General features: G+C 44.0%; 2 protein-coding genes and 1 long non-coding RNA gene across 11 annotated transcripts, besides 3 other annotated features; 1 reads left to right on the top strand and 2 right to left on the bottom strand.

The window, feature by feature from the left end:
• Positions 1 to 1,053: 1,053 nt before the first annotated feature.
• Positions 1,054 to 14,515, top strand: EGILA (EGFR interacting lncRNA). Its single transcript, NR_174964.1, has 4 exons — positions 1,054 to 1,248; positions 8,497 to 8,673; positions 8,866 to 8,959; positions 14,246 to 14,515. It is a non-coding gene; the product is annotated as an EGFR interacting lncRNA (long non-coding RNA).
• Positions 6,779 to 23,435, bottom strand: RNASE4 (ribonuclease A family member 4). 4 transcript variants are annotated; one of them, NM_001282192.2, is made up of 3 exons: positions 23,237 to 23,435; positions 14,345 to 14,448; positions 6,779 to 8,640 (listed from the first exon to the last, which is right to left on the bottom strand). In NM_001282192.2, exon 3 carries the CDS (start codon positions 8,621 to 8,623, stop codon positions 8,180 to 8,182), a length of 444 nt encoding a protein of 147 aa, NP_001269121.1. In that variant the 5' UTR covers positions 8,624 to 8,640; positions 14,345 to 14,448; positions 23,237 to 23,435; the 3' UTR covers positions 6,779 to 8,179. The 4 variants fall into 4 exon arrangements, with proteins under 4 accessions (NP_001269121.1, NP_002928.1, NP_001269122.1 ...); NM_002937.5 differs by lacking the exon at positions 14,345 to 14,448; NM_001282193.2 differs by lacking the exon at positions 14,345 to 14,448 and having other exon boundaries at positions 23,299 to 23,435.
• Positions 8,179 to 8,344: a silencer, noted in NCBI's record as "fragment chr14:21167810-21167975 (GRCh37/hg19 assembly coordinates)". NCBI's record gives its function as "represses an EF-1alpha promoter that drives an FKBP-Casp9 reporter gene in an ReSE screen in phorbol 12-myristate 13-acetate-treated (for megakaryocytic differentiation) K562 erythroleukemia cells {active_cell/tissue: K562(+PMA)}" and the evidence as "EXISTENCE:reporter gene assay evidence [ECO:0000049][PMID:32094911]".
• Positions 13,809 to 23,818, bottom strand: ANG (angiogenin). Of its 6 annotated transcripts, none has more exons than NM_001385271.1 (3): positions 23,237 to 23,435; positions 14,841 to 14,964; positions 13,812 to 14,448 (listed from the first exon to the last, which is right to left on the bottom strand). In NM_001385271.1, exon 3 carries the CDS (start codon positions 14,428 to 14,430, stop codon positions 13,987 to 13,989), a length of 444 nt encoding a protein of 147 aa, NP_001372200.1. In that variant the 5' UTR covers positions 14,431 to 14,448; positions 14,841 to 14,964; positions 23,237 to 23,435; the 3' UTR covers positions 13,812 to 13,986. The 6 variants fall into 6 exon arrangements, with proteins under 6 accessions (NP_001136.1, NP_001372200.1, NP_001372201.1 ...); NM_001385272.1 differs by lacking the exon at positions 23,237 to 23,435 and adding an exon at positions 19,121 to 19,231 and having other exon boundaries at positions 14,841 to 14,961; NM_001145.4 differs by lacking the exon at positions 14,841 to 14,964 and having other exon boundaries at positions 13,809 to 14,448; positions 23,237 to 23,818.
• Positions 23,144 to 23,283: an enhancer, noted in NCBI's record as "active region_8093". NCBI's record gives its function as "activates an Ori minimal core promoter by ATAC-STARR-seq in GM12878 lymphoblastoid cells {active_cell/tissue: GM12878}" and the evidence as "EXISTENCE:reporter gene assay evidence [ECO:0000049][PMID:35858748]".
• Positions 23,514 to 23,633: a silencer, noted in NCBI's record as "silent region_5574". NCBI's record gives its function as "represses an Ori minimal core promoter by ATAC-STARR-seq in GM12878 lymphoblastoid cells {active_cell/tissue: GM12878}" and the evidence as "EXISTENCE:reporter gene assay evidence [ECO:0000049][PMID:35858748]".

The raw sequence follows: 23,836 nt of genomic DNA, 5'->3' as shown, positions 1-23,836 counted from the left end.
TCCATGCCTCCTACTTCTTAAAATCCCTTTAGCTAGCCTAAAATTTTGAAATAGTCTTTGAGGCGCTAGTCCACCATCTCCTCAGGTTGCTAGCTCTTGAATAAACCTGCTTTTCCTGCACCAACTCTTGTCTTGCAAGTCTTGCTTTTGAGCAGTGAGCAGTGATCAGCTGACCCTTAGTTTGGTTACACTATCACTCAGGAAATTCCAAGCATTTTAGAAGGTCTGTGGCAGGAACCAGGAACTAAGTTCAAATTTATTTTTTATTATACCACAGGTCCCAACTCCCATGACTACCTGGATGGTGACAAAGACGAATTATCTCTTCATCCTTCTTTCTCACTCTAAATATACACAGACATGCTATTAGGAGGGAAAACTTTCCCTCTACCAACTTTGGTTCAGTGGGTGGGAGCCTGTGAATTAACTATAGACAGGTTAGCAGGGGGAAAGAAAACAAGTTGTATTCATAACTTGTGGAAGCATTCAGATGAAGAGGCTTGATGAAGAGCTAGAGACAGAAGTTTAGTTATCAACTCATAGGGGAAAAGAAGGAGGGAGAAATGACTTCTATAGGAAAACAAATGACTTTTGGGAAAGACAAATAGAAGCTTTGGATAAAGTTTTACACAATTTTCTTGGAATATCTCCTGTCTGGGTGAAGTAATCCTCACACGGTTAACAAGAATCCTGGACAAAAATATAATTATGAGTAAGTGTTAATCAGGCTACACTTTGACCCACTTCCTTGTAACCAAAACTCACGAACACTAGCTACTGATAATTTGCATTCTCATTGTTCCCATAGATAAGATCTTTGACATTAGAATCATAAGGCTTTTGTTTAAGAATTGTTTATGCAGATCCTGAATTCCGGCAGAACAGCTGACACCACCAACTTTAAAGAGCCCAACTGATGAACTGATCAGCATGAGAATACTGTTTTTTCATCTCTCTGTCCCATGACTTCACTCTGCATTCTTCAACCAATTAGTGATCTCTTATTTCCACCTACTCCAAATCCTTAAAAACAACAGCCTCAAACTCTTTGAGGAAATGGATTTGAGGTTTCCTTCCATCTTTTGGTTCAGCAGCCCTGCAATTAAACCTCTTTCTCTGCTGCAACCCAGTGTCTTGGCATATTGACATGCTGTGCACATCAGGCAAAAGACCTATTACCATTACATGAGGACCCCTCCGGAGGGAGATAATGGTGGGGGCATTTCTGGGAGGCTCTGCTTTAGTCAGGTGAGAGAAGTTCAGGTAAGATTTCTTTCTGTATCTGCTGTAATTCAAATGTTTTCAGTTTTGTCAGTTTTGCCCTTAAACATGTGCACACACACACACACACACACACACACACACACTCACACTTCCCTTCTTAAGCAGCTAGCATCTTCATATATCTCTGCTCCTGTCATGTGCGTCCATGTGAAGAGACCACCAAACAGGCTTTGTGTGAGCTATAAAGCTTTTTAATCACCTGGGTGCAGGCAGACTGAGTCCGAAAAAGGAGTCAGCAAAGGGAGATGGGGTGGGGCAGTTTTATAAGATTTGGGTAGGTAGTGGAAAATTACAGTCAAAGTGGGTTATTCTCTTGCAGGCAGGGGCAGGGGTTACAAGGTGCTCAGTGGGGAGGTTCTGAGACTCATTGTCTAGGAGAAGGAATGTCACAAGGTTAATTGATCAGTTAAGGTGGGGCAGGAACAAATCACAATGGTGGAATGTCATCAGTTAAGGCAGGAACTGGCTATTTTCACTTCTTTTGTGGTTCTTCAGTTGCTTCAGGCCATCTGGATGTATACTTGCAGGCTTGGGCTCAGAGGTCTGACATTTCCTGTCTTCTTATATTAATAAGAAAAACAAAACAAAATAGTGGTGAGGTGTTGGAGCGGCAAAAATTTTGGGGGGTGGTATGGAGAGATAATGGGCAATGTTTCTCAGGGCTGCTTCAAGTGGGATTAGGGGCAGCATGGGAACCTAGGGTGGGAGAGATTAAACTGAAGAAAGATTTGGGCATCAAGGGTGATATTGTGGGGTTGTTAGAAGGAGCATTTGTCATACAGAATGATTGATGATGGCCTGAATGCAGTTTTGTATGAATTGAGAAACTGATCAGAAGACACAAGGTCTAAATAAGAGAAGGAGAAAAGCATGTATTAAAGGACTAAAAATTGGGAGGGCTCAGGACATCCAATTAGAGAGTGCCTAAGGGGGTTCAGCATAATTATTTGCTTGGTTGGTGAGTTTTTGGGCGCTATCCTTGAGTTTTTTTTATGTTGTCATATACTAGGCCAGAGTGATTTTGGTAGAAACAACACTCTTCATTTAAAAATATACAGAGTCCCCCTTTTTCAGCAGTGAGTAAGTCAAGGGCATATTCCTGTCTTCTTATATTAATAATAAGAAAAACAAAACAAAATAGTAGTGAAGTGTTGGTGTCATGAGGGGAACAGGAAGCTCTTGGGTCCCATTTGCAAGTTGATTTTTGGGGGTAAGGAAAACTAGTGTGCATGTGCCTGTCTAATTAACAGGTAGACACATGTAGGGGAGGAGCCACAGGGGAAGAAGAGACCTTGTGTAAGGCGAAACTGGAAATGTAAAGTGAAAAGATGAGAAAGAGAAAAACTGGCCATGAGGGACAGAAGTTGAAACGCCAGCTGCTTGTTTAGCTACCTTATTAGCATAAGCATTGCCCTGAGTGATGGGATCTGATGCCTTTTGTTGGCCTTTACAGTGAATGGCCTCAGTTTTCTTGGAAGTAGAGCAGCTTTAAGAAGAGGTTTTATTAAGGAGGCATTAATGATGGAGGACCCTTGTGTAGTGAGGAAACTTCTTTCTGCCCATATAACAGCATGGTGGTGAAGGATGTGGAAGGCATACCTGGAATTGGTATAGATATTGACACGTAGTTCCTTTGCAAGAATGAGGGCTCGAGTTAAGGCAATGATTTCAGCTTGTTGAGAGGTAGCAGAAGGGGGCAGGCCTGTAGCCTCAATGATAGATGTGGAAGATACTATAGCATAGCCTGCCTTTGCCAGTGATTGGCGATTGGACCTGGAAGAACTACCATCAATAAACCAAGTGTGGTCTGGGTAGGGAACAGGAAAGAGGAAAATATGGGGAAAAGGGGAGAATGCCACGTGGATTAGAGGGATACAGTCATGGGGCTCAGATGCAGTATCAGGAATAAGATGAGAGGCTGGATTGAAGTCTGGACTAGGAACAATGGTAATTGTGGGAGACTCAACAAATAGTGAGTACAGTTGAAGGAGCTGGGGCACAGAAAGTATACGTGTCAAGCGTGAGGAGGAGAATAGATTTGGAAAGTTACAGGAACAGTAGAGAGTAAGTGGAGCATAGCTTGTAATTTTGAGGGCTTCCAGAAGTATTAAAGCTGTGGCTGCTGCTGCATGCACACATGAGGGCCACCCCAGAATTGGGAGGTCAAGTTGTTTTGATAGAAAGGCAGCAGGTCACGGGCCTGGCTCCTGTGTGAGGACTCTGGCAGCACAGCCTTGTATTTCAGCTGTGTGTAAGGAAAAAGAATGGGACGAGTCGGGGAGTGCTAGTGTGGAAGCGGTCTCCAGGGCGTTTTTGAGAGAGTGAAAAGAAGAATGGGGAAAAGACTTAGGGTCCATGGGATCAGTTAAGTTGCCCTTTCTGAGCTTGTAAAGTGGTTTCGTCAGGATAGCGACGCCTGATATCCAGAATCGGAAATATCCAACAGTGCCTAAGAAGGAAAGGAGTTGTTGTTTGGTGGTGGGGACTGGGGTTTGAGAGATCAGCTGGACACAATCAGCAAGGAGAGCACGTGTGTTTTCATGAAGAATTATGCTGAGATAGGTAACAGATGAGGAAGAAATTTGGGCTTTGGAGGGGGATACATGATATCCTTTTGAGAACAGATATTGGAGGAACAGGAGGGTGTCCCGTTGAGAAGATTTGTAGGAGGGGCTATAAAGTAGAAGGTCATCAAAATATTGAATAAGGTGAGAAGCAGATGGACAGAAAGAAAGTAGATCATGAGAAAGGGCTTGACTGAAGTAATGGGGGCTGTCCCTGAAGCCTTGTGGCAGTACAGCCCAGGTAAGTTGCTGAGGCTGATGGGTGTCAGGATCAGTCCAGGTAAAAGCAAAGAGAGGCTGGGATGACAGGTGCAGGGGAATAGTGAAAAAAGCATCTTTAAGATCAAGAACAGAATAGTGAGCTGTGGAGGAATTTATTGAGGACAAAAGGGTGTACGGGTTGGGCACCACAGAGTGGATAGGCAAAACAATTTGGTTGATAAGGTGCAGATCCTGAACTAACCTGTAAGGCTTGTCCAGTTTTTGGACAAGTAAAATGGGAGAATTGTAAGGAGAGCTTGTAGGCTTTAAAAGGCCATGCTGTAACAGGCAAGTGATAACAGGCTTTAGTCCCCTCAAAGCCTGTTGTGGGATGGCATACTGGCATTGAGAGGAGTAAGGGTGATTAGGTTTTAAAGGGATGGTAAGGGGTGCATGATCGGTCACCAAGGAAGGAGCACAGGTATCCTATACTTGTGGATTAAGGTAGGGAGACAGAAGAGGAGTATGTGAACTGGGGAAAAGGGTGGGAATAGGTGTGACTGTAGCCCAGGAATAGTCAGGGAAGCAGATAATTTAGTTAAAATGTCTCAACCTAATAAGGGAGGTGGGCAGGTGGGGATAACTAAAAAGGAGTGCATAAAAAATGTTGTCCAAGTTGGCACCAGAGTTGGGGAGTTTTAAAAGCCTGGCCATCAATATGCACAACAGTTATGGAGGCAAGAGAAACAGGCCCTTGAAAAGAAGGTAATGTGGAGTGGGTGGCCTCCATATTGATCAAGAAGGGGATGGACTTACCCTCCACTGTAAGAGTTACCGAAAGCATCTGTGATGGTCCAGGAGGCTTCTGAGATAATTGAGCCACGTCAGTCTTCAGCCACTAAGCCAAGAAGATCTGGGAAGGAGTCAGTCAGAGAGCCTTGGGCCAGAATTCCAGGGGCTCTGGGAGTGGCTGCTGGGCGAGTTGGACAGTCCGGTTTCCAGTGGGGTCCCGCACAGATGGGACATGGCTTAGGAGGAATCCCGGGCTGCAGGCATTCCTTGGCCCAGTGGCCAGATTTCTAGCACTTGAAGCAAGATCCTGGGGGAGGAGGTCCTGGAGGAACACCTGGCCACTGCAGTTCAGGCATTTTGAAGTTCTTGTGTGCTGGAGATGTGGCTGGGGCTTCTCTCATAGTGGAGGCAAGTAATTGCAACTCAGAAATATGTTGCCACTTGGCTGCCTCTTCTCTATTATTGTACACCTTGAAGGCGAGGTTAATTAAGTCCTGTTGTGGGGTTTGAGGGCCAGAATCTAATTTTTGGAGCTTTGTTAATGTCAGGAGTGGATTGACTAATAAAATGCATATTGAGAATAAGACGGCCTTCTGGCCTCTCTGGGTCTAGGACAGTAAAGTGTCTAAGGGTTGTTGCCAAATGGGCCATGAACTGGGCTGGGTTTTTATATTTGATAAAAAAAAAAAAAAAAAAGCCTAAATGCTAACTCATTTGGGAGAGGTTGGATAAAGAAAAAGGAGCATTAACCTTGACTGTACCTTCAGCTCCAGCCACCTCTTTAAGAGGAAATTTTTGGGCAGGTTGGGGAGAGCTAGTCATGGAATGAAACTGTAAGCTGGACCAGGTGTGAGGAGGGGAGGTGATAAAAGGATTATAGGGTGGGGGAGCAGAGGGTGAGGAAGAATCAGGACCTGGCTTGGCCTGGCTGGTGAGCAGCAGCCTGGGGAGGAGGGAAGAGGTCAGATGGGTCTGTAGAAAAGGAGAATTCAAAGGACTCAGAGCTTGGGGTGGAGACTGAAGAAACAGACAGGAGAGAAAGAAGAAAGATTTGGGACAAGTCACATTGGGAGCAGAGACTAGGGAGGGACTGATGTGTAAAAGAATGCCTGGATGTCAGGCACCTCAGACTATTTCCCCATTTTTCGACAAAAATCATCTAGATCTTGTAAGATGGAGAAATCAAAAGTGCCGTTTTCTGGCCATTTGGAACCATTGTTGGGTTTGTATTAGGGCCAAACGGTATTGCAGAAGAAAATAAGGCATTTAGGTTTTAGGTCAGGTGTGAGTTGAAGAGGTTTTAAGTTCTTGAGAACACAGGCTAAGGGAGAAGAAGGGGGAATGCAGGGTGGAAGGTTGCCCACAGTGAAGAAGTAAGTTTAAAGAGAAAGGTAGAGACACAGCAAAGGGGGTGGTGAGCAGCCCTGGGCTATAACGTGGACGATCAGCCAAAGCAGGCATCCCGCGATTGACTTGCCATCAAGGGAATGTGGGTGAATGACCATGGCAGGTGTCCCCACAGTGATCAGACACCAATGGAATGTGGGTGAATGATCAGGGCAGGCATCCCCACAATGATCAGACGCCAAGGGAAGACTATCTTCCCGAGTCCGTGACTGGTGTCTGAGTTTTGGGTCCATGGATAAAATGCGTCTCCTTTGTCTCTACTAGAGAGGAAAGAGAACTGGAATTGGAAGGACAGGGAGATTGAAGGGTAGCAAGAGAGGCTGGAGAAGACAGTGAAAAGACCGCTTACCCAATTTGAAATGGGTGAGATGTTCCTTGGGCTGGTTGGTCTGAGGACCTGAGGTCATAGGTGGACCTCCTCATGGAGTGAAGGCGAGGACAGGGGACCAGTCTCCTGAAGGAGTCCCCCTGTTCTGGGTCTTCGGCACTAAATGCCACACGCGTCCATGTGAAGAGACCACCAAACAGGCTTTGTGTGAGCAATAAAGCTTTTTAATCACCTGGGTGCAGGCAGACTGAGTCCAAAAAAGGAGTCAGCAAAGGGAGATGGGGTGGGGCAGTTTTATAGGATTTGGGTTGGTAGTGGGAAATTACGGTCAAAGTGGGTTATTCTCTAGCGGGCAGGGGCGGGGGTCACAAGGTGCTCTGGTGGGGAGCTCCTGAGTCTAATTGTCCAGGAGAAGGAATGTCACAAGGCTAATTGATCAGTTAAGGTGGGGCAGGAACAAATCACAGTGGTGGAATGTCATCAGTTAAGGCAGGAATTGGTTATTTTCACTTCTTTTGTGGTTCTTCAGTTGCTTCAGGCCATCTGGATGTATACGTGCAGGCTTGGGCTCAGAGACCTGACAGCTCCCTAATTTGCTTCTAAATATTCTAAGGGAGAAGGAAGAGCTGTGAGAATTGTCTTTGAGAGGAATCATTCTCTCTGGAGTAAATGAGACAAATCTTCTGTGTTGTGGTCATGGATCTGATAGGCATTAGTCTTTGACCAGAGTTTATGAGGTTATTAAGGTGCATGCATGTTTATAAACTAAACAAGAATTTAAAAGTCAGAGAAAAAAAATAATACCATAGCACAGTCTTCTCAGGTACCTTCGGTTTAGGTCCTTTATTACAAGGAAAACATAAAAAATCTTTCAATCAGTAAGAGCACATAAGTCTTAATGATCTAGTACATTTTTTAGTACTTTGACTTACTAGGGTGATTCAAAGTTTCAGGAAAAAGAAAATTCCCAGTATCATTTTCTTAATCTTATTAAACCCAAACATAAGAATGCCAAAAAATACAGAGCTCACATTTTGCTGGCATACATTTCCAAATTTTTAATGCCTCCCTGACAGGTGAATTTTAAGGATAAAAAAAGCAGACACTTTCAAAACATTCCTTGTGATGAAGTAGAAAAAGCCCTGGATAAGTGGCCAGCTACACTGGATTTTTGTCTCAATTCTTCCATTAACTTTACAGTCTTCAGCAAATCCCTTAACTTTGAGCTTCTATATGTAGTGACATCATTATAAGTGCTGTGGTATTAAAATGTGATAAACATAGATGAAAGCATTTTGAAATGTTTGAAATACTACATAAATACACATAATAACTAAATTCCACAGGATAGGATCTGAGAGAGCTAAGCTGACCAGTATTATAAAAGGAAGCTTATTACAGAAAAGCCCAGCCTCATTCATTACAGGTTTATGTCTCCATATCTCTTTGGTGCAATGTATTTAATAGAATGAGTTATATAGAGAAAAAGAGTAGGAAATGAGCTGAGGAGACAGAGCCTGGGACAGCTCAAATGCATTACTCACTGCTATTTAAGGAGTAAGTGTAAGGTCAACCACTCGCGATAATCCCTACATGGTGGCATCTAACCGTCAAAGTGCACAGGCACCTGTGGGTTACCCTCACAGGCAATGACAACACGTCTAGTGCTCGCTATGGCCCGATATCTGCAGTTGGGTGCCCTGGAACTTCCTGTGTCCCTGCAATCTGTGACCTTCACTACACCCTCATGGCAGTTCATCTTGCCGTTCTTGCATTGGATATTGGTGGTGCTGCAGATACTACGAATGTTCCAGATATCTTCATGGATGAAGGTGTTGAAGCGCTTGCAGTGATACAAAGTCATCTTCCGTCTTTGCATCATCAAGTTGCAGTAGCGATCACTGCCACCTGTCTCCTCAGGGTGCACGTGTTGCCGCAGGAATCGCTGGTACATGCCATCCTGGCCATAGGAGGGCTGGACCAGCCCCAGCCCCAGCAGGGTCAGCAGCAAAAGCAGAAGCAATGAATGGGTCCTCTGCAGAGCCATCAGTATCTTAGAGGTGCCTAGAAAAGAAAGCAAGGGGCAGGAGAAATAAGGTAAGAACTGGGCACTGGAAAAAGGTGTTGAGAATAGCAAGCCGGCATCCTGACTCCATAGTCTCCTCTTTCCTCCTTCTTATATGCACCATCTCCCCACTCATCTCTGCTACTTTTCCCACCCTTCTTCCTCAAGAGTGAGTAGTTTGCAAACATGATCTTTTCTGAAAGCAAGACCTTTCTCATTTACAGAGAGAAGTTGCTGTGGCCAGTACAATGACACAGGGCAGGGACTGACTGCGTGGCTGCCAGGTTTGTGTGGACAGAGTATAAAAAGAGAGAAAAGGTGAACCTACATGAAACTGCAGTTGTGTGTCTCTTGGGGGAACTCCGTAGGTGTATGATCTTTGGGGAGTGTTTGGTTCCCGGGAGGCTCCAATTCCCGACAGTTTGGATAGACTCAGCATACGTCACAGAAAGTTTACAAACTACTTTTAATACCTTACATCTGGGAATCTAGGTGGAGGAAGAGGACAGAGGAATATTTAGGCTTTGCCTTTCCTCTCACATGACTATTGTTTTTCTTTGTCATTAATTTTATTATTTTTCTTTTCTTTTTTGTCATGTGGCTATTATTCTAATGTGATTTAAAATCTATTCTAATTCTAGAATAATATATGTTATACATTAATTTAAAATGTATTATTCTAATTCTAATGTAAAATCAGGTCCTTTTGGAAATCCTTTTAATTCTATTTTTTAAAAAAAAGCAAAACCAGAATACCCAGTTACAGTTCTTAGAAGACAGTTGATAATAGCTACTGTTTGAATGAACTAATAAGTGAAATGAGTAAGCTAATGAACAAATGCAATTAAATGGATAGAGTAAAGATGTTTCCCAGGCTTATGAAATTGACTAATAAGAAAAGCTAAGAAATGTTTAAAAAATAAATTTAAACAGCACAATATTCTCAAAAGAAAACTTGGATTGTGTCTTCTTCTCCTTGCTGTTTCTATGCATAACCTAAAAAATCTAGGCCATGGAGATACATTGCTTTGTCTTGCATCTATTCTTGATGTTCCTTCTGTCTTGTCAATAGTTGTTGGTAGCTGTCTGTCTTCTCTGGTTGCAGCATCATTGTGTTGTCACCTCTTGGCAGTGAAAAATAGGCATATATTTTATAGCATTAAAAAAAAAAGCCAGAGTGGCAACAAAAAAAGCATTGCCATGTAGTTTCAGAACATTCATTGCTTTCATTGACAGATTAAAGAAAGGAATCCAGGCCTATCTTAGTCTACACCCTGTGCTCTTTCCACTATCTACTGCCTCTCTCATCCCACACCCAAAATATTCAGGATATCAAAGACATTTATGCTCAGAATTGCTACTTCCCAGCAGCAGAGTTTAATCAAGACTGGAGGTGGACTCACTCACCAACTGACTAGCCAGATGCTGCCATCTGGCCGTCACTCCTGGAATTGATGTGAATTGTGAATCGGCTTGATTCTTGCAGTGTAGCAGGGCTGATTCACTACAGCAAAGAAAAATCATCCCTGATTCAATAGGAAGTGAGCAACGCAAATTAGCAAGGGCAATGTTTTGAGAGTCAGGCAGCCCAACTCTGTATGTGCAGTCCAAGGACTGACCCCAGTTGAACTCCTAGTTTGATGTATATGGGTACTATTGTCTTTTGATTTCAAATTCTGCTTCGTAATGGTGGATCACACTGTGTGAATGACTGAAATGGCTTCCAAACGACCTGTACCTTACTTTGTTCTGCTGAAAGGCTACCTTTTCATTATTGATAATGAAAGCAGTATCAAACATGGATATTGTTCTTTTAAATGCCACCTCCTATATCCATAGCCATCTTTTGCCTTTGCACATAAAGATATCAAGCTGTATGTCATATCTGTGTGCCTGCAGCTGTAGATGTGAGATACAGTGTTAGGAAGAGAGGGAAGTAAAGAGGTTGTGGGAGGAAGGGCAGATGTTTGATTTCCTTTTTGCCCCAAGAACAATGCATACAACTTCTGAAGGTATACTTAGTACTTGGATTATAGCTTCAGCAGATCAATATACTTTGGTTTGCTCTTCCGGTGGCACCTCGAGTTTCCATGGTTTTATCTACTTTCTCTCATCCTGATTCTTTGTGACCAAAAATATGGTTTAGCAAGATGACTAGCTACAGAGAAAACCTCACCTATGCATGCGAGAGCAGACCCAGGACGTCAGCTTTTCTGCACTACTCAAGTAAACAAGACATAGAGAAATATTTGAGGACAGCAGGCCAGTGTGGATACCAATGGGTGCATCTCAAAGCTGTAGCTACAAGAGAAAATTGAATGATCTCCACATCATCCCAACGCACACTTTTGGGTCAGGATTTTCCCCAAACGCTTTCTCCACTGCACCACCCTGACTCACAGTAAGAACTTCTTTTGACACCGTGGTCTAAAAGACTGAGGCTGTGACCATGAGAAAATTACTTAATCTCTCTCAGCAGATTTCCTCATAAGCAAAATGAGCATGTAATACCTACCTCTTAGGGATGTTATGAAAAGAAAATCAATCTAAGCGCCTATAACAAGGCCTAGCACAGGGTAAATGCTCAGTAAATATTGGCAATTACTGCATTTTTTTTTTTTTACCACTTCCATTTTTCTTGGTTTCCTCTGCTTCTGTCAATCTGGATAAAATAATGAATGACTACAGAGTTGCATATATTATTGACTCCTCTTTATTTCGTAGAGCTAACTGTATTCTCAAGATATTGGAAGTCTGTTTTTAAACTATAAAATATCTCAGCTACTAGATTCCTAGAAAAATGTTTCTTCTCCAAATTGCATGGAATTTTCTTCCTTGCATGTCACTATTCTTCAAAGCATTTAGCATTTTGGAGTGTTCCTTCTTTTTCCTTGCAAAGCCAACAATCACAGCTGACCAGGACTTCAATTCTTCAATTGATTCACGCAGGATAAAATGACCTGCCTGTGACTTGACGTTTTATTTTAAACAGCTTGTGGTTGTGATAGAACAAGAGGCCCAGACCAAAAAGGACTAGGAATGCTTGCTCAGGTGCCAGTACCATCGGCAGGTCAGGAAACACTCCCATCCCACTGCCATGTGATTTCCTATGAAACAGCGATTTCCCTGAACACCAGAGCAAACTATGCGATGATAATGCTCCAAGCAGATGTTTGGAGAAGATGTGGGTTTTCACAGCTTATGCTGTGATCAATATAATAATGGTCCATGCCTTTCACTTGCCCTATCAAGGCCTTGAGTGGCAGCGATGATCTTGAGTAACTTTGCCTCACCTCAAGGAAATAGCACTGGTTGGAGAACTTGAGAAAAGGGCCCAAATAGTTTACCAGAAACTGGGACTTTCTCATTTCCTGAGAGGTTTTTGAGATTTGGTAATATGGCAAATTTTCTAGTGACAGAGGTTTGGAATACTTTTTCCTATTTTCTTAAGGAATGACAGTGTTTTCAGTTTTGAAACAGACTAACCCAAGGAAGAGAGATTCTTGTGCTAAGCACATACCAGCTACCTACTTCTCAAACCCATTCCTAAATTTGAATACTTTCAGTGAGGCTGGGCTCTCCTAGGTGGTACCTGGACAATGTTCTATAACCTGAGTATTGGGGAGCCACGGCTTTTGGCCCATTTCAGGGCAATACCAGGAGCAGGAGAAGCCACCATAGGGAATACTGAGACCACAATAATTATGTGTTCACAAGGCAGTGAAACTGGCGACTTATAACTAATTTATTGGCAACCACTTTCTAAATAAAATATCCAAGTACCTGTCAACAGAAATTAGTTAACAGGAAGCTAACCACTGAGTCTGTAGATTGAACAGTGTATTTTACAAAGAGTGTGTTAACCTAAGTTATGTTAACTTAAAAACAAATCTTGAGAATTGAGGAAGAATAAGGGATAAACTGGGATAAACTGGGATCTTTCTTTTTTTTTTTTTTTTGAGATGGAGTCTCGCTCTGTCGCCCAGGCTGGAGTGCAGTGGCGTGATCTCGGCTCAGTGCAACCTCCGCCTCCTAGGTTCAAGCGATTCTCCTGCCTCAGCCTCCCGAGTAGCTGGGACTATAGGTGTGTGCCACCACGCCCAGCTAATTTTCACATTTTTAGTAGAGACAAGGTTTCACCATGTTGTCCAGGATGGTCTTGATCTCTTGACCTCGTGATCTGTCCGCCTCAGCTTCCCAAAGTGCTGGATTACAGGCGTGAGCCACAGCGCCTGGCCGGAATCTTCTATAACTTCCCCAAAACATCACACTTGCCAGACATTAGTTGATAAAGTAAAAGATTACAGAGGAAATAATGTAATTGGTTTTTGAATTTTATATAAAATAACCATGACAAGAGAATATCCTGGGAGCATTCCATTCAAACATCAAAATTATCTCTCGCTTAAGACAAAAGGTGGCTACCCTGAATGAATTTTGGTATTCATGCTGGATTACATATGTGTATATGTGTGTGTGTGTGTGTAAGAGTGAGAGAAACTATAATAATCTGTTGGTATGTTGGTACTTGGTCCTTGGAAACTTCTCTCCAAGGTCTCATATTTGTAGAAGTAATATTAGCTTATTATTTGACAGAAAAAACAATTTGCCTATCTTGGAAATTCTGCTTAGTAGCTACGAGCCCTGGAATTTTTCCATCTCTCTCTGTAGATCAACATACCATACTTTCCTTCACAGAGAGGTAAAGTCTACCTCCCTAATGACTTGTAAAAACTGACTGATAAGGAAAAAGTGGCCCGGCTCAGTGGCTCATGCCTGTAATCCCAGCACTTTGAGAGGCCAAGGTGGGCGGATCTCCCGAGGTCAGGAGTTCAAGACCAACCTGGCCAAAACGGTGAAACCCTGTCTCTACTAAAAACACAAAAATTAGCCAGGTGTGGTGGTGCATGCCTGTAATCTCAGCTATTTGGGAGGCTGAGGCAGGAGAATCACTTGAACCCAGGAGAGAGAGGTTGCAGTGAGCCGAGATTGTGCCATTGCACTTAAGCCTGGGCGACAGAGTGAGACTCCATCTCAAAAAAAAAAAAAAAAAAAACGAAAAGAAAAGAAAAAGGCATTTCTATCCTATGCAGTCCTCTCAGGGAGCAGCCAAGTAGAGAAAATGGGGGAAAGATCAATATGCCCAGAATCAGTGAGAAGACTCTGATTCTTACTGATATCAAGACATTTTTATTTATTAAACATGTTGTCAAACAGAAAACAAAAGGTCCAGGTAGCTCTTTCTTTGGGCCCTTGGCAATGAATGTTGCCACCACTGTTCTGGGTGCAGAGGGGAAATGGAAGGCAAGGACAGCAGAGCCAGCACTTGACCAGGGGCCCGCTGGTTACGGACGACGGAAAATTGACTGATCCAAGTGGACAGGTAAGCCATTTTCACAAGCAACAACAACGTTTCTGAACCCCGCTGTGGCTCGGTACTGGCATGGAGGCCAGGGGGAACCTCCATGTAGCTTGCAAGTGGTGACCTGGAAAGAAGACTTGCTTATTCTTAGGTTTTCTCTGTGAGGGTTTCCATTCTTGTTTTCACAGATGGCCTTGATGCTGCGCTTGTTGCCATGAATAAATGTGTTGATGTCTTTGCAGGGTGAGGTCAGGCCCCGTCTCCTCATGATGCTTTCACAGTATCTGTCATCCCGGCCCTGTGGTTTGGCATCATAGTGCTGGGTCAGGAAGTGTGTGTACCTGGAGTTATCCTGAGCCAGGGTCGGTGGGGTCAGACCCAGACCCAGCACGAAGACCAACAACAAAACGCCCAGGCCCATCACCATCTCTTCCAACACAGGCTCCTGCGGAGGGCAAAAGGAGGTGTGGTAGACCCAAGAACAGCATCACCAAATTAGGCCAAAAGGACAGGAGCTTTGCTCTCTGACACGGCATCATGAATCAGATCTTTTCCACCACCAAATTTTATATTCTATTTTCCCTTCCTCATTAACCTCACACTTCGTCAATCCCTTCCTGCGGAACGTCTATTTAATAGTTTCCTGAGCACAACCTCTAGCTCCAACCGTTCTTCCCCATCCCTTAGAATCACTGAGTATTTCTCTATCAGTCGTAACATTACAAAATCCACTCTCACTCTTTAATTCATGTATTTATTAATTGAATAATGAACATTACATAGGTCTCTACTGGGTACCAGGGACTGTGCTAGGTCCTGAGGCACATTAAGACATACCAAATGACGGCCGGGCGCGGTGGCTCACGCCTGTAATCCCAGCACTTTGGGAGGCCAAGGCGGGCGGATCACGAGGTCAGGAGATCGAGACCATCCTGGCTACCACGGTGAAACCCCGTCTCTACTAAAAATACAAAAAATTAGCCGGGCGTAGTGGCGGGCGCCTGTAGTCCCAGCTACTCGGGAGGCTGAGGCAGGAGAATGGCGTGAACCCGGGAGGCGGAGCTTGCAGTGAGCCGAGATCGCGCCACTGCACTCCAGCCTTGGCGACAGAGCGAGACTCCGTCTCGGAAAAAAATAAAAACAAAAAATAAAAAAATGCCTCCCTAATAGGAAATGAGGCATCCATGGGGAAAAGATGGGGGCTTCAATGTACTGAGATGAGATAGTAATACAGGAGGTGAGAGCTAAGAAGAGAGTTTTAGGGGAGTGGTCTCTAACATTTTTGGCACCAGGGATCATTTTTGTGGAAGACAGTATTTCTATGGATTGGTGGGGGATGGTTTCAGGATGAAATTGTTCTGGTTCAGATAGATCATCAAGCATTAGTTAGATTCTCATAAAGAGTGCACAATCTGGATCCCGCACATGCGCAGTTCACAATAGGCGTCCAGCTCCTATGAGAATCTAATGCTGCCTGCTGATCTGGCAGGAGGCAGAGCTTAGGCGGACAGGCCACAGACCGGGATTTGGGGACCTCTGTTCTAGGGAACCCTGAGCCCAGGGAAGGAGTCAACCATAAAATTGTTTACGACAGGCTTCTAGCTAATTAGTCAGCTAATGTGAAGAAAGCAGTTGAAAGCAGTTGTATCCTGAGTTGAAGGGAAGCAGACCTACCTCCCCAAGAAGTAGGTGGTTCTTGTTCGTTTATGAGTAACTCACTGAATTTATGACTGGCTATGATTTCTTGGTAGTCATCACACATACTGAGAAATTCTCACAAAGGGAGAAAAATCTGATCTTCAAATTGTATTGCATTCTTAAGTGTAATACAATTCTTATGACCCCAAATGTAAAAATAAATGGTACATTTTCAAAGACATTAAATTAATTATTAATTTTTTATTTTGTGCTTCTCTTGTGTGTAAGTCAATGAACATTTTCGTATCAAATAGTTCTGTAGCCCTTGCAGGAAGCACCAATGTTGTACAAGTTGTGGGGATATTGCTGTTCACAGAAGGGAGTCTGAGCTTAAAAAAAGGCCATGGGTCCTGGCACTAGGCCTGTGGTGTGGCTAGCCTGTTCTGAGAGCAAGACTGTGGATCTAGAAAGACACAGGACCCCAATGTTCTATGGTTACATGGGAAGACGTGACTGGGTGAGCAAAGTGGGCTCTCTTTCTAATTTGCATTTGGTGTTGATTCCATTACAAATTATAATCTATGAACTTAATGCAAACATTTCCAGCTGCTATTTACTCCATTATTGTGGAATGAAAAAATTCCTTAGCATATTATTTGGTATTCTTCAGCAGTGCATCAAATTTGTCCGCACCGACATTTGTCCATACTTGAGAGAGTTGCTATCTCTAAAAGTCTGAAATTCCATGCTGAAAGTGTGTTCTTGGGAGTTTATCAAGAAAGAGGTACATGATTGTAGAATGGAGAGCCAGCCCTAAAGGAGTAACAAGTATTCACTCATGCAGCTGCTCCAGTATAGCTGCTGGGCTGCCAAGCCACCCACTTGCCACGTTCTTCACATTTACATCATGCTTTTCAGTCTCCTGGGTGTGTTTCCTGTTTCTAGTTTTTTGGAAGATCTTATTAAAGTTTTATTGATTTGTAATCAATTAAGTCTCTTGCTCTGTAATGAACAAATACTGACTTCTAATGTCAAAGGTCTGCCTTACACAGTCAACATTCTTCTGCCTGGTGCCAGAATCCCAGAAATCAGAAATCAGGAAACGGAACCAGAGCTGCTAGTACCTAAAAGAGTCGTTAGGTGGCAGTGGTGGATAGGAATGTTACTAATGTCTTCTCTAGGAAATACCGTACTTGCAGGAGGTGCCAATGCTGTATAACTTGTGGGGATATTGCTGTTCACAGAAGGGAGTATGAGCTGGTGAACCTGTTTAGAATCTCTGTCCAAACTCGCTCTGCATTAGATATTAAGACCAAGGACACCTCATTAGATATAAGTGCCAAAGTAAAAGCCACAAAGTTCAGAATCTACCCATAAGGATATCACAAAATAAAGACCGACCTGTTGTCAGGTTTCACGGGTGCCATTTCCAAACATGCCATTACCCACGTGATCGTGGATGAACAATGAAGTATTTACTTGTTAGTGTTTCTTACTGGTGTATATTCCACAGAACTCATATTATTCACCTTGAATCAACATGCTTGCCTTATTATAACCCTTAATATTTTTTAAGTAATTGACTTCATTTTTCTCTCCAGGCCTAGGTTTGTTCATCAAGAAAATAAAAGAGTTGCTAGCTCTAAAAATCTGAAGTTTCATGGTTCTCATTAAACATAATAGAGGCTTTGCTAGTTTCAATAGCAAAGGTCCAGTGACCCTCAGTTACAGAGACAAATTTTGTATAAGTTTAGTTGGGGGCCTGTAATCTTGATTCCCTAAGACATCCAGGAACCAAATCTCAGCAAGCGTACACCAAAACCACCAATATCTAACATCTGCTCCCTCACTCAAAACTTTCTCAATATATTCAACTCTAAATTCCTCAAAAAGCAAGGTAAAATGGAATTGGGAGAAAACCAGTAAGAGACAGATCGTTTGTGGTGTAAAAGTGAATCTGCCTAAGCCAAGGGTGCAAAGCCTCACATCTGGTGGCAAAAGTCCTATAGATATATCCTTCTGTACCCAAACACGTAACTGTCTGTCAGCTTTTTGTCAGTGGAATTAGTCCCAGCTGTTCTCTGTCCTTTTTTTCTTTTCTTTTCTTTTTTTTTTTTTTTTTTTTTTTTTTTGAGACGGAGTCTCGCTCTGTCGCCCAGGCCGGACTGCGGACTGCAGTGGCGCAATCTCGGCTCACTGCAAGCTCCGCCTCCCGGGTTCACGCCATTCTCCTGCCTCAGCCTCCCGAGTAGCTGGGACTACAGGCGCCCGCCACCGCGCCCGGCTAATTTTTTGTATTTTTAGTAGAGACGGGGTTTCACCTTGTTAGCCAGGATGGTCTCGATCTCCTGACCTCATGATCCACCCGCCTCGGCCTCCCAAAGTGCTGGGATTACAGGCGTGAGCCACCGCGCCCGGCCTGTTTTTTTTTTTTTTTTGAGACAGAGTCTTGTTCTATCGCCCAGGCTAGATCGCAGTGGTGCTATCTTGGCTCACTGCAACCTCCACCTCCCAGGTTCAGGCAATTCTCCTGCCTCAGCCTCCCAAGTAGCTGGGATTACAGGCGGCCACCACCACGCTTGGCTAATTTTGTGTATTTGGTAGAGACGGGGTTTCGCCATGTCGGCCAGGCTGGTCTCGAACTCCTGACCTCAGTTGATCCGGCTACCTCGGCTTCCCAAAGTGCGGGGATTACAGGTGTGAGCCACCACACCTGGCCCCAACTGTTCTTTAGAGTAACTTTATCTTCTGTATCAAATGAATCTGTTAGTATTCACAAGAATTATTCTCTCCCTCTCCCCACAGGCAATGTTCAGTATTCAAAAGATTCATCAAATTTTACACACCAGGGAGTTAACTTGACAGTTTATGATGAGTAACTATAGTTATCATTTTCATCAATGTGGCTTCACACTTTTATACATCCTAGGGCAAAATCCCCCAAAGTAAGAGCCTAACACCCAAGGCATATTCATCCCTTTATTGCTTTTCCTTCCTTCTTCCCTTCAACCTGCCAGTGAGCCTTCTTTTGATCTTGGGATGTGTTCCACTTTGTTTGAAAGAGCATCCAAAACTTTTCTAAGAAGAGAAATTAGCAGGGAAGGTTAGAAGGAAACAATGCTAAAAACATACTGTTTCTTTCCTTGTTAAGCCACGTGTAATGCCTGTAACAGGGGTGGACGACGGGGGAGGACTCCCGATGGCCTTCAGCAAATGGCTCCCCCAGGCCTTTGGGGATTTTATCACAATTTAGAAATCCCTCCTAAACTTCCACTTCCTCCCAGTCTCACTAATTTCTCTTTATCCACACATAGGCCATCCCAAAAGAAACCTGTTTTCATTTTAAACTTTAGAATCTGATCCATTTTCTTTTTAATTCATGAGCTTGAGCCTGGAGGCTTTAAAGGGAGGAAAATGGTTTCATTAAAATGGATGGATGGCTAGAAATAATATATAAAACAAATTGAACAATAGTTTACCCAGGAGGAAGAATCTTACAAAAATCTGGCAGTTTCCCTTCAACGGGAGATGGGTTCCAGCTGTTTGTTCCTGGAGATGGGTTCCAGTTGTGTGAACCTGGAGGCCTCTCCAGGTTCTGATTATATAGTGTTCCTAATATATAGTGTCCCAGTCCTGGCAGGGACATGAAAACCAAGGACACTGCTCTTGAACAAACGAGGAGGGTCATTCACCTTTTCGCTGGGCATGATTGGGTTAGATATTAACCCACCTGAATGGATTAGAGATTTGTTCTGGAAGACAAAGTTTGAGAAACATGGCCTTCTGTCCAAAAGTTGCCCTTTTCTGCTGTCTGTGGTGCTTACTCTTGTTCATGGCAGGACTGAGGTTTCCCTATTCACACATAATAGTCTGGATCCATAAGATAGCATCTCTGATCTCCCTGGGCCAACTCCAAGAACTGCCTTGGAAGATGTCACAGAGTAAGATATGGTCTTCCAGTAGGATGCTTTTCCACTGTACTATTTATCATTTATCATATCACATCCTATTTATCGTATCACATCATTTGGTTTCATGAACGGATGCTAAGCACGTTATTCCATCGATTTCATACAGCCAGGAAAGCACTTCCAGAGAAGGTTGTGTGACAGCTATTAGTACACTGCCCCTCCCCCTACACTCAACTTCTCAGCTTCTAACCCCCAGAAGCAGGCTTGCCATGTTTCCTGGGTTTCTCCTTCTTCCATCTTTACCTGTCCACAAGAGACTAACCCTGAACATTCAATCTTCTGATCCTTGTAATGTAGTTGCAAAATTGCTTATCTCCATCATCAAAGCAGGGCTGTAGATCCATTGCTTGCGTAAAAACAGTGGGCCAAAGGTCACCAGGATCACCTTATAGATCTCATAGTTTCCAATATCAGACAGCAGCAGGGTACCAACTGTTTCACAGACCCCCAGCATTTGCCCACAGTGGTGTTGGATCTAGGACAGTGTTATCTTTTTAAAAATCCTCAATCCTCTGTTGTCACCCACCTAGCTGCCAAGTATTCAGTCTGGCTGCACTTGAGAAGGTGTCAAGAAAAGACAGGCTGCCTGCTAGTAAAACAAATGCACTTGAAATCACAATAATTATAATATTCAGTGCAATCTTTCATTTTGTGAAGCTCTCACATACATGACTACATTCAACCAACACCAGGACTGTGTGAGGTAGGCATTATGTAAATATGCTCTGCTCATGAGGAAACTCCAAGAACAAACAGCAGATGAATGGTGGAGTCAGACTTTGAACCCTTCATAAGCAAGGAGAAAACTGACCTGTCTTTCCAGGCTTAGCTCAAGCAACACCACCTCTGAGTCCCGAAAAGCGGTACCCTGCCACAGCATACAACCCATATGCGCCTGCACACACACAGCCCCATGGCCTGAAGCACCAATTCAAGCACCGACTCACACAAACAGAGCAGCCTCTGATTTTAGAGTTCTGCAGTAGTGCTGAGGTGGGGCAACCAGCAGCCTCTGAATATAGTTAGGTCCCTTCTCTGCCTCTGGGCCTTCACTGGACAACCTTTGGAGGATACACAATCTGCCCACAATGCAAAAAGACAGTTTTATGTTTTTCTTTTAAACTTGGCACAAGGAAGTTTTGTTGAAATGAAAAGTAGGGTTTGGGGGAAAAATTACTATTTCATTAGAATGCATCTAAGCACTTAGTCATTTGTGTTTAAAATACAACAAGGAATTATATTCTATGATTAAGGAACATCACATCTTTGTCAGTAATTTTAATACAAATGAAGGAATCGCCAATTGCAAAAAACCTCATATATTTTTTAAATGTTCAGACAGCTTTAACTTGAAAGTCATTCCCCTTTCCTGGAGATTTTTTTCTCTCTCTCCCTCAAGCCAATAATGTCCCTGCACACAGACACGGGATGCACGGGTCCTGTTTCCAAGGACCCTAGTGTTAGAGCACTTTCCTCCTTCATACAGAGTATATATGTATCATTCTGTCTTAGGACTAATTATAAAATTAGATGATGGGAAGAATGGACTAAATAATTTCTATATTTCTTTATTATTCTAACACTTTAGGTCTATAAGCATGAACTTATTCAATAACGGAAGTAACAGGTAAAGAAGGAAAAGCACACGTGGCAAGAAGAACCACGTCTCCAGGAAGAGGCAACACTACTGATTGAAGGACAGTGGGGACAAAGTCCTGCTGACATGCCTGTATTTCCAAACAAAGACAAAAATTAAACATTTGCTTTTCAACCAACTCTGGGCTTTGTGCCCACTCACTCTTTGTTCCCATTCCCTCTTTCCCAAGTATTTCATGGCATTCTTCCGGGAATAACTGTTTACAGAGAATTACAGAGAATCTGCTTAAATACAGATTCAATAAAAACTCCTAAAGAAAGGTTTCACTGACCTTCATTGGTCCACTTTTTTATCCAGCTACTTTAATTTGAGTCACAGTGACCAATGCTTCCAACAATAACTTGACAAACCTCTTACTCTTGCCTGCTTATAACCTGATTATCTGTTTTCAACAATAGCTAAAGCCATTCCTCTTTTCCTGGAATGATTTTTTCCATCCTCTCTGCCAAACGATAGTTCATCTCCACATTACTAGAGTGCCTCATGTCCTGTTACTAACATCGTACCACTCCATGGAGTCATAGAACAAGAGTGGGAGGGGCCTCTGAGACTCTGTCCACCCCTCATATTAAAGAAGAGCCAACTGAGGAACAGAGAAAGAGACATGTATTGCCCAAGGAACTCATTGCATTCGCCGGCCTGGAAGCTTTCCAATGCACCACACAATTTTTTTTTTTTTTTTTTTTAAGACGGAGTCTTGCTCTGTCACCCAGGCTAGAGTGCAGTGACGCAATCTCTGTTCACTGTAACCTCCGCCTCCCAGGTTCAAGAGAGTCTCCTGTCTCAGCCTCCCGAGTAGCTGGGGTTACAGGTGCTCACCACCGTGCCCGGCTAATTTTTGTATTTTTAGTAGAGACGAGGTTTCACCATCTTGGCCAGGCTGGTCTCGAACTCCTGATCTTGTGATGCACCCACCTCGGCCTCCCAAAGTGCTGGGATTACAGGCATGAGCCACCGTGCCGGGCCCACACAACTTTTATATTCCATACTAGTACTTTCTAGACAATCAGAGCTAACTTTAAAGGGGCCACTGAAAGTTGCTGTTCGAAGGAAACCTACATTGACTATTACCATAAATTCAAAAATTATTTTACTCTGCTTGTCATCAGTAAAAGAATTGCTTGAATTGAAGCGTATGTAATAAACCTATCCTCTTGCAAAACTTGTTAGTGGCTCTGTGGTTAAGTAAGTCTTGAATACCTGAGGCTGCTTCTGGGAAGGTGGTCCTGTGCCACAGATAATGATGTCCCTTGGGTTTCTACTGATTACATTATGACTTGATTATAAGATTTTTACTGTCACGAGGGAGGGTCTTGGCTCATCTGAGATTTCCCTAGCCCCCTGAGTGGTGCTGAAATTGTTTTAATAAAGATGTTGCGCTTTACTCATGTGCTGCTATTAGCATTTGACGTGCTGTCTCAGAGCGAGAAAACGGAGGATCCCAACCTTCCAGTAGGAAGGCTTAGAGAAGAGGCTGTTGGCAAGTGTCTCTAAGAATTGCACAACACTGGCTGAGGGTGGGTTAAGGGTGAGGAGGCAGAGGAGAGTAAACAGAAAACACCGATCCCCAAATGTTAGTTACGCTTGCAAAAAACTAAGGCCTGCTTCAAAAAGCTGGTGATTAGCCTGAATAACTAGCAAAGCTTTCTTAGTTGTGGGCAAGTGCAGGCCTCCTAGGGCTTCCCTTAGGTTCGGCGATTCTGTGGTCCCCCTCCAAGCCTACTAATCAATAGAAGCTGGCATCTGTGCCCAGCTGCGCAAAGTAAACCTGAGTGGGAATGTAAAGTCGTTAACTCATACAAATACGGGACTTTCACGTCCCTCCCCATTCCTCCCTCTCCAGCCCCGTCCCGCAAACTCCTCCCCAAGGAGTCCCAAGCTGCCTCTACTAGGAAAGGACTCCCCGGCCTAAACGCCCCTTATGAAGCTACCAGAGAGGAGGAGGAGGAGCAGGAGTGTGAACCTACCTCGGCCTCAGAACAAGTCCGCAGAAACGGGCAGGACAATGGAAAGAAGTTTTGTTTCTCACCCGCTTCTTCCTCCCTAGTACGATGATGGGGAGCCGGTAGAAAACGCAAAGATGTTCTTTTGAATCCTGCTTTGCATCTAGGTGGGGTTGGCGTCCTTGTGTGAGTGTGTGTACACGGACGGAGATGGGGGCGTGGTGAGGTGTGGAGGGTCGGCGTGCCAGCCTCTGCGTAGTTGGGACCGCGCCCCGCTTCTCCGAGGAGGCCCCTCCCGCCTGGATCCGCCCTTGGAGCTGGCGCCGCAGCAGCACCCGCCCCAGGGGCCGCAGGGGCAGCCCAGGCAAAGAACGAGCCTGGGATCCGCGCTCCTTCCTCAGCTGGACCCCAACGGGCAGCAGCCGCGAGAGCACTGCCTCCACGGAGAGCAGATGGCGGGAAACTGGCTTCTGCTCCCAATTGCCAGGCGGCCCTTCAGAGACTACCCCTGGCTGAGCGTCCAGGAACCCATGAAACTTGGTCTTGACACTGGTCGACAGCACCATCTGCCACGTACTTATTCGCTGCTGCTTTCTTTGGCAGGACAGCCCATCGCGAGACAGT

The sequence above is a fragment of the Homo sapiens genome, chromosome 14 (genome assembly GCF_000001405.40).
Source record: "Homo sapiens chromosome 14, GRCh38.p14 Primary Assembly".
Lineage (NCBI taxonomy): Eukaryota > Metazoa > Chordata > Mammalia > Primates > Hominidae > Homo > Homo sapiens.
Note: the sequence above shows the minus strand (reverse complement) of the source record. Positions and strands in the feature narration are given on the sequence as shown.